Source organism: Homo sapiens, chromosome 3, assembly GCF_000001405.40.
Source record: "Homo sapiens chromosome 3, GRCh38.p14 Primary Assembly".
Lineage (NCBI taxonomy): Eukaryota > Metazoa > Chordata > Mammalia > Primates > Hominidae > Homo > Homo sapiens.
In genome coordinates, this window is record NC_000003.12 from 119,526,322 (window position 1) to 119,539,547 (window position 13,226).

At 41.1% G+C, this 13,226-nt stretch overlaps 1 protein-coding gene and 1 pseudogene across 1 annotated transcript in view; both read right to left on the reverse strand.

Annotated features, from left to right (window-relative positions):
• Positions 1–13,226, reverse strand: part of CD80 (CD80 molecule) — a 35,322-nt gene that overhangs the window by 2,029 nt on the left and 20,067 nt on the right. The window contains exons 4-6 of the mRNA NM_005191.4: positions 10,816–11,097; positions 3,521–3,616; positions 1,412–1,520 (exon numbers count right to left, since the gene is read on the reverse strand). Of these exons, the coding sequence (NP_005182.1) occupies positions 1,450–1,520; positions 3,521–3,616; positions 10,816–11,097 (449 nt within the window). The 3' untranslated portion in view covers positions 1,412–1,449. The remainder of the gene's footprint in view (positions 1–1,411; positions 1,521–3,520; positions 3,617–10,815; positions 11,098–13,226) is intronic.
• CSRP2P1 (CSRP2 pseudogene 1) lies at positions 4,510–5,290 on the reverse strand (annotated as a pseudogene).

The window sequence follows — 13,226 nt, forward strand, 5'->3', positions numbered from 1 at the left end:
GGTACACGGCTTCATTTTGAAGTATCAGCAGACTGAGCAGAAGACTTTTTAGATAGAAAGTCAAGAAAATTGTAGATAATGACAGAACTGAGCCAGAGCAACATCCTGGAAAAGACATTCTGAGGAGTGAGCAAGCATTCAGTGGAAATGAAAAAACAGGATAGGAAGTTGAGACACTGCCTTGGGGGAAAATATGTGTAGGCTGCCAGGTTGTAGGGAAAGGAGCCTGAACTTGATGTCCAGTTTGAATCTTGGTTTTATTCTTCATCTGTATGACCGTACCTCAAGCAAATCTCTTAACCTCTGGGAGCCTCTGGTTTCTCTCCCATAACATGGAAATAGATCTTGCTCATAGAGATTTTTATAAGACTAAGATGAAATAGTGTTTTTGCAAAACAACCTGTTGTATAAGCGTCAGGTATTATTTTTCATTTTTCTTTATATTTCCCCCTCCTGCCCAGGACAATTCTTGCTTTCCTTTATTTTTAAAGATAATTTTGTAGACTAATTCCTATACTGGTGTTACTCTAACCTTCACAAGTCAAAGCTGAACTGTTTAGGGAGGCTTATAACTACCTGGGACCTGATATCAGTCTCTTGGATTCTAATGTCCCATGTAAGTTTCTCTTGCATGAAAATACCTGGGGATTTGTGACTCACTAAAGCTAGTGCTGTGTTAGGCTCTCTTAACAGGATGGACATTCCAGACCCCAGATAATAATTATCTCATTGTATGTAGAGTCATTAAGACCAAATCTAAAGTCTTGGGTTCCGTTTACCCCATTCATGTGAGGCACTGGAAACCATGCCATGTGAGGAACAATTGACAGAACTCAAGGGTATTTAGACTGAAGAGATCAGCTGGAATGTGGAAAGTTAAAAAGCTTTGAAGCTTTTTCTGTAGGCAGTGGGGTCTCTTCTGAGTTTTTGAGTGGGAAAATGACATGACAGAGTAATTCTTTGTGAAATTTGGCTCCATGATTCGTCAGTAGGATGAGTCTGTTAGTAAGAGGCAGAGAAACCAATGAAAATGTTACCGTGTTAATACAAAGTGACCCCAACCCATGTCCATCAATACTGAGAGATAGAGGGAAAAATGAATGATCAGAATAAGAAGTTACCACAGGAATATTCAAGATGAACTCAAATTAGTGTTTAATAGATAATGAATTGGCTGACAAGACAATTCAAGATGGCAGAATGGAAACATGGCAAAAGAAGAGGTTACATTAAGCAAATTGCATATGGGGAGAAAGGAGAGGGATGCCAGCCATCTTGTAACTGTTCAGCTTAATCTGAAAGAGGTTTTTAAGAAGGTGAGGTAGTGGGTAAAACAGCTTAAATTTGTTAAGGGAAGAATGCCTCATGATCCCCACGATCCATGTATCCCAGAAGAGATGACGGAGGCTACCTTCAGATCTTTTCAGCCCCTTGCTTCTGCGGACACTGTTATACAGGGCGTACACTTTCCCTTCTCAATCTCTCATTCCTCCTTCTCTCTCTGCATCTTGGGGCAAAGCCTTGGAGACAAGAACAAACAATAAAAATGATAAGTAAGTTTCCCTTGAATTGTGCCCATATGTTAATATTTACTTTAGCAAGGCTTCAGACTGGCTTAGAACTGGAGCAGTTGTTCTTATACCAGGGGTGATTTACAATGCTCCCTCTTTACCTCTTTGCCAAGGGGACATTTGGCAATGCTTGGGGATATTTTTGATTGTCGCAACGGGCAAGGGGTGCTACTGGCATGTAGTGAGTAGAGGCTAAGGAAGCTGCTAAACATCCTACAGTGCACAGAACAGCACTCCAAAACAAAGAATTATCTTGCCCAAAATGCCAATAATGTTGAGGATGAGAGCCCCTGAATTAAAGGGGTAACACTGGATAGTTGGTATTAGAAACATCCTTGAGCCCACCAGACCTCTTTATCCTACCCTTGGGATAAGTTGTTAACAGCACATACTCTCTAAAGAATTCACTGAGCTTTGGGTTTTTTTGGTGCTAAAGCCTGGGAAAATCAGCAGATGTTGATCTTCCGATTTTATTTGATCAGTGTACATGATTTCTACTCAAAGAAGGGTTGGTACCCCTTCATAGTGATTATGGCCTTATTTCGGACCATAGAACTAGCAGTTCCTCTTCATTTAATCATAGAGATTGAGGGCAGCATATGTCTAACACCCAAAGTGTAAATTCATAGGGTAAAATATCTTAGAAATCTCTTCTTTCATCAGCCACTCCTGATCTTTCATCCAAAAATGTATTCTAAAGAACTGAGAAAATGGACATTTTCCAGACACCTATGTGTGTGGCACTCTACTAGGCACTGGAATTCCAAAGACAAGAAGTCCCAGCACTTTGGGAAGCCAAGGCAGGCGGATCACGAGGTCAGGAGATCAAGACCATCCTGGCCAACATGGTGAAACCCCGTCTCTACTAAAAATACAAAAAAAAATTAGTCAGGCGTGGCAGCACGCACCTGTAGTCCCAGCTACTCAGGAGGCTGAGGCCGGATAATTGCTTGAACCTGGGAGGCGGAGGTGCAGTGAGCTGAGATCGGGGCATACACTCCAGCCTGGGTGGCAGAGTGAGACTCCATCTCAAAAAAAAAAAAGAACTAAGAATTGGTTTGTGTTTTGAGATGGAGTCTCACTCTGTCACCCAGGCTGGAGTGCAATGGCATGATCTTGGCTCACTGCAGTCTCCGCCTCCTGGGTTCCTGGGTTCAAGCAATTCTCCTGCTTCAGCCTCCTGAGTAGCTAGGACTACAGGTGCACGCCACCATGCCTGGCTAATTTTTGTATTTTTAGTAGAGACAGAGTTTCACCATGTTGGCCAGGCCGGTCTCGAACTCCTGACCTTAAGTGATCCACCTGCCTTGGCCTCCCAAAGTGCTGGGATTACAGGCATGAGCCACCCCACCCAGCCCAAGAACTGAGAATTGGTGAGATCACCTGTAGCCATGTAGTTTCTCAACTGTATTAGTGCATCTTGCCCTCCTCCAAGAAAATGATTCTTGGCACCAAAATTTGTCAATTTGCCTTTTCTCTAACTCCAAATCAAAATTAGAATATCAGCAGGATGGTGGCCATGGAAGTTGGAATTCACTAAGGAGTGTGTAACAACTCACCTGCCAAATCGACTAGCCCTTAAAAAAAAATTAGAATATCATTTAGCATCAGAAACGTTTTCAAATTAGTTAGCAAACCCCAGTCTCCAAAAATATATAAAGTCAGGGAAAAAATAAACAGACTAAACTAGAATGTGTCTTGAGGGCAGTGACTTCTTGTCATTGTAATTCCAGTGCCTAGTAGAGTGCCACACACGTAGGAGGTGTCCGGAAAATGTCCAGTGAATGAACAGAACTTGTTGAGACAAGTAAAGGAGATGCTCATGTTTCCATAGGCTTGCTGTAAACATGAGAAGCGAATAGGCTAAAACCTCAGAGAGATGCCGAACCATGGTAATAAAGTTTGATCTTCCAGAATTGAGATCAGGATGATGGTATGATAGTACTTACAGTAGGTCAGGCAGCATATCACAAAAATTCCATTTACTGAGATTAAGGTAATGGCCCAGGATGGGAGCAGGTTATCAGGAAAATGCTCTTGCTTGGCTATGGAGGGAAAAGAATAATGTCAGCTGTAATGTATTTCCTACTGCCTGATACTCATTCTGTGCCTTTTCTATTGATGCAACTGTGGAGTATTCTTTGCCTGGTCAGCTCTCCAGTATGCAGCTGCTAGCATTTTTCTTGCATAATTCTTCAATCAGGCACATACTTGTGGGCAACTAATAGTCAGATGTCACATATTAAAAGTGAAAAAGATACTTTGAATGTCTGCATTTACTGAGTTAAGTTGACATAAGGAAGATTCTAAGGAAATCTTTTACAAGCCATCTTGCAGTATCTCACTTTTATAGCTGATTATAACTATGTGTTACTACTAACTGGTTGATGTTGTGTTCTAGGTATACTTTATTTTTCCTTCTCTAGCTCTGTCGTGCCTTCTCCCTTTCTCCTACCATATTCTCTCTCAACACATACACATCACACACACCCTTACCTCACAGTAGCTGCCCTAAAGCTACAGGAGCCACTTTGCATTCACTTTCGGATACAGGTTTTTCACCCTCTAGCTACTGGAAACACAGAACAAGTCTGGCAAAGAACTAAGTGTGGATATGGCTTGGTATTAGGTGGGACCATCCTAGAAGAGAGCACTGAAGGTTATCAGCTGTAGTTTCAGTCCCACAGAGAGCACAAGAAGTACACAAGGAAATGAGGGTGGGGAGGAGAAAGGTGTTGGTGGATATGGTGCTGCGGGTCCATCCCTCCAGATCAGGAGCAGCAGCTGCAGTATTTATTCTTCAGCTGCTTTGAGGAATCATTAGCAACATCTGGAAAAACGGCAGGGACACAAATTATAGCAGCTCATTTTCTGGTTTCTCTGAAATGGCTTACAAATAAATGAATATTTACTAACTTATTGTTTTTACTTTTTTTCTTCATGCTGAAGTTTTATTTAAAACATAAAAGAAATGTTCCCCCAAAATGCTAGTGAATAAAGCAAAAGGATACGACACAGTGCTCTCTCACTATGAGTTAGCCAGCCTATCCAAGTACAGGGTAATATACAGTACTCAATGCTGGTAGAATTTCACAGTAGTTTAGTGTTAAAGATTATCTGTGCCTAGATTATGAAGAGATTCTCAATGTGTGATGCTTAGTTCTGGGTTTACACCTTACTGGGCATGAACAAGAGCCCCTGCTCCTTGGCCATAGCCAAATCCCTTGGGCCCAAAGTTCTTTGCATAGCACCATTACAATAGATTTCACCTTCTTTTTCAGTCAGAGTTGTTGATTCAAGACTCTTCCCACACTTTGCACATCAGAAACAGTTTTTGTGCCAGGGCTTTCCAGCTCCAATTATCTTCTCGGCAGCATATACAGAATCCCCACATCTGGAACATTTCTCAGCACCTCCATATTTCTGAGCAAATTTAGAAGCATTTGGATTTCTTGTAGGCCTGTGAGGCTGAACACTCTCTGGCTTGATGCCCAGCCTCTCGCCATGTTAAGCGTGCCAGCACCCTGGCCATAACCATAGCCTTTTGTCCCATATTTCTTTCCATAGTAGGATTTGCAGTAGATCTCTTCATTGTGAATTGCCACTGTTGTGCTATCTAAATTTTTCCTGCAAACCATTGAGTCGGAGGCAGGAGCATGCACCACAGGCGGAGCTAGCAAGGCTGGGCTGGAGAGAGGGTCCAGGGAGTCCAAGATCCCTGTTTTTACTTTTCTGATTACCAAACCCAGTGGTAAGTTTTATTTATTTATTTATTTATTTATTTAAGACGGACTTTCACTGTGTTTCCCAGGCCAGGCTGGAGTGCAGTGATGTGATCTCAGCTCACTGCAATCTCTGCCTCCCGAGTTCAAGGAATTCTCCTGCCTCAGCCTCCCGAGTAGCTGGGATTACAGGGGCGTGCCACCACACCCAGCTAATTTTTGTATTTTCAGTAGAGATGGGGTTTCCCCATGTTGGCCAGACTGGTCTCGAACTCCTGACCTCAGGTGATTCTCCTGTCTTGGCCTCCCACAGTGCTGGGATTACAGGCATGAGCCACTGCGCCTGGCCTAGTTTTATTCTTTTGCTTATTGGACTTCTCATCAGCATTTAGCCAGTTGGAATCTTCTCCTTCTTGGACTTCTGTGACACCACATCCTTCTGTTTCTGTTTGTTGCACTCCGTTTTCTCTGAAGGCTTTTCTTCCTCTTCTTGTCCTCTAATTATTGTTGTTCCCATGGTTCTGTTTGTGGTCCCATTTTGCCCTTACTGGCCCCAGTCTTCCTGGGTAATATCCTCCACACCTGAGATTTGAAATGCCATCTGAGGCTGGGCACAGTGGCTCACACCTGTAATTCTGGCACTTTGGGAGGCCAAGGTGGGCAGATCACCTGAGGTCAGGAGTTCGAGACCAGCCTGGCCAACATAGTGAAACCCTGTCTCTACTAAAAGTACAAAAAATTATCGGTGGCGAGTACCAATCCCAGGTACTCAGGAGGCTGAAGCAAGAGAATTGCTTGAACCAGGGAGACAGAGGTTGCAATGAGCCAAGATTGCACTCCAGCCTGGGTGACAGAGTGAGAATCTATCTCAGAAAAAGACAAAGAAAAAAAAAAAAAAGAAGTGCCATCTGATTTCTAAATTTGTATATTGGATGGATGCCAGCATCTCCACCTGATTAAAACTGAATTTACTACCTGCTTTCCAAATCATATCTACCAGCTGTATTCTCCCATTTCAGTGAATAACAATACCATTTAGTTACCCAAATAAGAGTGTGGTATTTTCTTTGTGCTCACTTCCCAGTAGGCTCCCATGTATTTTCTGTTCTATATTCAGAATATCTCTGGAACTTACTGCTTTTTCCCAAATCTCTTGCAGCAACTGCCTTAGCTGAGATTTTTCTCATCTCCCACCTAGTAGCCTGCAAACCGGTCTCTTTGCCTCAGGTTTCCTAGGCTCTAATAACTCCTGCACATTGCTGTCACAGTAATCATTCTGAAACACCTATTTAATCATAGTGTACCTACCACTTAAAGACAGGATAGTTGGTTTTTCTTTTTTCTCTAAAACACCAGATTGAATGGAGACATCAAGTGATTACCAGAGTTGACCTCTACAGATTAGAATGACACAAAAAATAACAAGCCATTGCTGTTATCCTGGGAGTCTAGAAGTTTCACAGGCTTCAGCTCATTCCTGGCTTCCACTCCACACCCATCCACAAGCCTCATTCAACCTAGAGAGAGTATGTGTGTGAGGGAAAGAGGGAGGCCTCAGTAGCAGCAAGCCAGGTCTATTGTGACACCTGTTAGAAACCTGGTAACATCCCACAGGGGCAGACCCAGAATCCAAGGTACAGAGCGGTGTGAGGGCATCTGCACATGTAGCTTATTAGATACCATGAGTATGACTCTCTCAGATGTATCTCCTTCCAGTTTATCAAGGGAAAACAAATTTGGTGAGACTACACTAAAAAGAATCATATGCGCAATCCGCTTAATTAATACATTTGGGCTTTTTTTTTTTTTCCAAATCAGTTATTTACTGATATGGTTTGGCTGTGTCCCCACCCAAATCTCATCTTGAATTATAACTCCCACAGTTGCCACATGTCATGGGAGGAACCCAGTGGGAGGTGACTGAATTATGGGGGCGAGTCTTTCCTGCACTGTCCTTGTGATAGTTAATGAGTCTCACGAGATCTGATAGTTTAAAAACAGGAGTTTCCTTATAACAAGCTCTCTTTTTGGCTGCTGCCATCCACATAAGACATGACTTGCTCCTCCTTGCCTTCTGCCATGATTTGTGAGGCCTCCCCAGCCACGTGGAACTGTGAGTCTAATTAAACCTCTTTATTTTGTAAGTTGCCCAGTCTCGGGTATGTCTTTATCAGCAGCATGAAAAGGGACTAATACATTTTCACCTCAAAGCTTTACTCACCCTGACCTGTAACATTTCTATGTACTATACACTTAATGTATATTTGTTAGTGCAGTCAGCCCTTGACCTCCTATAAATGCATTATTTGCTTTTGAATCTTATTCTAAAGAATCCCCACACAGTCCAATTAATGAGATTTGAGACATTTATACCCTAAAGCTCTCCAGCCACAAAGACAAAAACCTTAAGTTAGCAAACTATAGCACATGGGCCAAACCTGTCCTGCACCTGTTTTTAAAAATGAAATTTTGTGGCTGGGTGTAGTGGCTCACACCTGTAATCACAGCGCTTTGAGAGGCTGAGGCAGATGGATCACCTGAGATCAGGAGTTCGAGACCAGCCTGACCAACATGGTGAAACCCCATCTCCACTAAGAAAATACATAAATTAGCCAGTTGTGGAGGCAGGCACCTGTAATCCCAGCTACTTGGGAGGCTGAGGCAGGAGAATCGTTTGAACCTGGGAGGCAGAGGTTGCAGTGAGCCGAGACCACACCATTGCACTCCAGCCTGGGCAACAAGAGTGAAACTCTGTCTCAAAAAAAAAAAAAAGAAAAAGAAAAAAAAAAGAAAAATTTTGTTGGAACATAGCCATGTCATTCATTTATGTCTTGTCTGTGGCTGCTTTTGTGCTACAACCAGCAGAATTGAGTTGTTGCAACAGAGACTGTGACTGCAAAGCTTAAAATATTTACTATCTGGCTCTATTCAGAAAAAAATTTGCCAACCCCTGTCTTAGAATGTCACATATATCCATATTCCAATATAAATAATGTCCAAATCAAAATGCAATCCAAGCTAGTATTACTGATTTAATAATCAGTACTCTACTGTTTTCTGCCTTCAATCAGAATAATGTAAAATTGGTTAAATAATGCTATAACAAGAAAGTAAAAATAGAGACTTAATAAACTATATGATTGAAGCCTCATTTTAATAAAATTTTTACAACACATAAAAGATGACTGAGACTGGTAAGTTTGGAGTATCAATAGTCATGTCAAAGTTTGGTTTATATTTGAACTAATTTTCCCAGGAAATTTTGTCTCATTGAGGAAAATAAAGAATCTGCTGTAGCCGGGCATGGTGGCTCATGCCTGTAATCTCCACACTTTGGGAGGCTGAGGCGGGCAGATCACCTAAGGTCGAGAGTTCAAGACCAGCCTGACCAACGTGGTGAAACTCCATCTCTACTAAAAATACAAAAATTATCTGTGTGTGGTGGCTGGCACCTGTAGTCCCAGCTACACAGGAGGCTGAGACAGGAGAATTGCTTCAACCTGGGAGGCGGAGGTTACAGTGAGCCAAGATCACGCCACTGCACTCCAGCCTGGGTGACAGAGCGAGACTCCGTCTCAAAAAAAAAAAAAAAAATCTGCTGTAACACTGAAAGATCTAGAGTAAATCATACACTAGCATGAATTACTAGACCATCTAAAATAAATTATCCACTTCGCAACTACAAGTAAAGACATGAAGAATTAAGACATGCCATATAGTATATATTGTGCTATATACTTATGTGCAACTGTATTATCAAACTCAGTGTTTTGTTTCTTACTATACAGTCACAAAACCTATCCTTGGGAGTGGGGCTAGGGGTAGGGAGAGAGACCTGTGGTCCTCTGTATGATCAGCCGTACAATTTAAACAAGTATTAATATTTTGAGCATCTCAGTTCACCTTGTAAGCCATCTTAAGCCATTATAGGCCTAAGATGTATATATTCATATAAACCCATCGTTTTCATTGTATATTTTCAAATGATTTCACCTCTTGGGGAAAGAGAATTCTCTGAGTTTACTACCAGTAGGGTAAAATATTTGCTCCAAAATGACCTCTTTTCAGGCGTTGTCTTCAAGGAGTTTGTCACTCACCTTTCCCAGACTTGGTTCAGAATGAACCAGTAGTTCTTAAAAAGCACATTCGCCCACAAAAAAAAATTGTTTGGCACCATGGAACCGTGTGGGTGGCATGCCCTAAAAGAAAGCACCAAATCCCTAAGGGCAGTTCCAAAGGGCAAATTTTAATGCTTTCAATAATACTATTGTTACAAAAACTTTTTAAGATGAATGCTTGATGGATAATGGTTTTTAGTATATATAAATTTTAGAATATTTATTACAAGAAAATAAGGCCGGGTGCAGTGGCTCACACCTGTAATCCCAGCACTTTGGGAGGCTGAGGCGGGCGGATCACGAGGTCAGGAGTTCGAGACCAGCCTGACCAACATGGTGAAACCCCATCTCCACTAAAGATAGAAAAAATTAGCCGAGGGTGGTGGCTGGCGCCTGTAATCCCAGCTATTCGGGAGGCTGAGGCAGAAGAATTGCTTGAACCTGGAAGGTGGAGGTTGCAGTGAGCTGAGATTGTGCCACTGCACTCCAGCCTGGGCAACAGGGCGAGACACTGTCTCAAAAAAATAAATAAATAAATAAAAAGAAAATTAGTAACATTATCACACCTTGCACAGTGACTTTATTTTTTAAATTTATTTTTTAAATTATTTTATTTATTTCTTTTAGAGACAGGGTCTCACTCTGTTGCCCAGGCTGGAGTCTAGTGGCATGATCATAGCTCACTGCAACTTTGAACACCTGGGCTCAAGTAAGCCACCCACCTTACCCTCCCAAGTACCTAGGACTACACATGTGTGTCACCAAGCCTGGCTAATTTTTTAAATGTTCTGTAGAGTCAGAGTCTCATGCTTCCCAGCTGGTCTTGAACTCCTGGGCTCAAGTGATCCTCCCACTTCAGCCTCCCAAAGTGCTGGGATTACAGGCATGAGCCACTGTGCCCAGTCTCACAGTGACTTTAATAAGTCATAATAGCACATGTCATTTGTATATCTAAAAACACTATAAAACACTATCAAAATAAATACGACAATTCTAAAATGTATCTGGCTGAGTTACAGTAATGTGCCATGTAACATTTTCAATGGCATTCTGCATATATGATGGTAGTCCCATAAAATTATAATACCGTATTTTTACTGTACCTTTCCTATGTTTACATACGCTTAGATACACAAATACTTATTGTGTTACAACTGCCTATGTGTTCAGTATGGTAACATGCTGTACAGGTGTGTAGCCTCAGAGCACTGGGCTGTACCATGTAGCCTAGGTGTGCAGTAGGCTGTACCATCTAGGTTTATGTAAATACACTCTGATGTTCAGACAATGACAGAATTGCCTAATGATGCATTTCTCAAAATGTATCCACATCATTAAATGACACGACTATATTGTCTTTTTAGATTCGATATAGTAGAAACTCCCCAGAACAATGTCACTTACTTGTATTCCAGTTGAAGGTCTGATTCACTCTTAAATGTCCATACTTGATGAGACACATGAAGCTGTGGTTGGTTGTCATATTGAAATCCAGTTTGCTGCTAACAGCATAGAGCTCAGTTTCAGGATCTTGGGAAACTGTTGTGTTGATGGCATTTAATTCTTCTCCATTTTCCAACCAGGAGAGGTGAGGCTCTGGAAAACCTCCAGAGGTTGAGCAAATTATCCTTCTAATATTAGAAGTTGGAATTTCAAAGTCAGATATACTAGGTGTAGGGAAGTCAGCTAAAGAAAGAACAAGAATATATAATTACGTATAGTTACAAACCTATGTGTGTAGAGGTTTATTTTTAAATAATTTTCTAGCTTTAATAAGAATTGATAAAGGCCAGGTGCAGTGGCTCACTCCTGTAATCCCAGCACTTTGGGAGGCCGAGGCAGGTGGAACACCTGAGGTCAGGAGTTTGAGACCAGCCTGGCTAACATGGCAAAACCCCATCTCTACCAAAAATACATAAATTAACCAGGCGTGGTGGCAGGCGCCTATAATCCCAGCTACTCGGGAGGCTAAGGCAAGAGAATGGCTTGAACCCAGAGGGTGGAGATTGCAGTTAGCCGAGATCGTACGACTTCACTCCAGCCTGGGCAAAAGAGCAAGGCTTCATCTCAAAAACAACAAAACAAAACAAGAATGATAAAATGAGATATAATTTGCAACTTCCCATTACTCATTAATAGTTATGTATAATCCAAAGACTAACTTTGATTTGAATTGGTTATATCAATTCTTTGCCACTTTTGATGGAGATAGGAGGGCACTTATTACAGAAAGGAGAAGTAGGTTCGTGTGAATAAATGTTGCCAGAGTACTTGCAATTGTAAGAGATGAAGAGAAGAATAATAGACAACGTTTACTGAACTCTTGTTTGTTAGGTCTGGACCTTACCTCATTTTGTCCTCACAGAAACCCTAGAGAGGTAGGTTGTAGATCTAAAAAGGTCAAAGATCAGTAATTTCATATGATTTAACCTAATATAATTTCCATTTTATAAGTAATCAAACTGAGGTTTAGAGAAATTATAACTAACCAGTAATGGCAGAATTCAAATCTGTCTGACACCAGAGCCTATCTTTTCTTGACCTTGCCTTTCTTTCTTTCCTTTCCCTTTCTTCTCTTCTCTTCTTTTCTTCCTGATGCTTGAAGTACGCAAGTGGCTTTCTTCTATGTTATCTATTTATTTACTAAACTATAGCGAACGCCTGAAAACCCACCATCCAACTTGAGACCAAAAACACTGACAGTAACTTAGGTAAATCTGCTGGTATGATGTCACCTATCCTGTCCCTCTCTTTCCCTTACCTAAGGTAATCACTATCACTATCCTAAATTTGTGGTTAGCATTTCCTTGCTTTTTAAAAGGTCGTCTTTTACATGAGGGGCCTACCCCTTTGCTCTTGAGAATGGTTTCTCATGTCCTCCTTTCTGGCCTTATCCTTTGAACATTGACTCTTAAGTCTGTTACAGGTAAGGGCTCCATGAAGTTGTGTTTCCCTTTTCTTTCTGGCTACCTAAACTCAATACATAAATAGAGAAGGCTTTGCCTAACATAGAACTTTCGTTGGAAAGGGTCTAGATGGGGAGAGAGAAAACATAAATCTGGTCAAGGAGAGGAGATCTTGGAGAAAGGAAAATGCTGCCTAATTTACAAACCTGTGACCTGCCTTTTGAGGGGGCATTGTGTGCGTGTGAGTGGGGGGCAGGCATTGAACTATAGTCATGAGCTTTTGCTTCTACTGAGTCTCACCAACACCCCATACCCCAAAAAAACACCCATGACCAGTATTTTTTAATTTGCATATTTATTTCTGGATGGGTTTTCCCCTCTTTATTCTGTCCTCATGAGACCATGGGCAAAGCTCTTTATTTTAGGTGAGAAGAAAAACTCTGAACCACATCAGTAATGTTTTCATTTGAAAATATCATTGAAATGTATTTGAATAAATTTATTTGAATTCATTTGAATTTTTTAATTATTTTGATAGTAGACATGCTGTTTATTTATTTAATGTGCATATGGAAGCCTGAAAAATAGAAAGCTGTATAGACTGAGTTTAGTTGTTAATTGGTTTGGGAGTCTTCCATGCATAATTTATGACTTCTTGGTGTTCTATATATTTGTCCGAATTAATTACTGGGATGAAGCTATGCTAGCTTTCAAACAGGAGATGCCTTTCAGAAATTTGTATATTGTGCAGTTGCCAGACCAATTAAATACCTGGTTGAAATTAAAAAAAAAAAAAGTAGTCTTTTACTCAGAAAAACCTATATCCAAACTACAACATTGAGCCTATAACCTCATTCACCACACTTTATTGTTTTTCTTACTATTTTGATATGCCTTAAAGGGACAGGA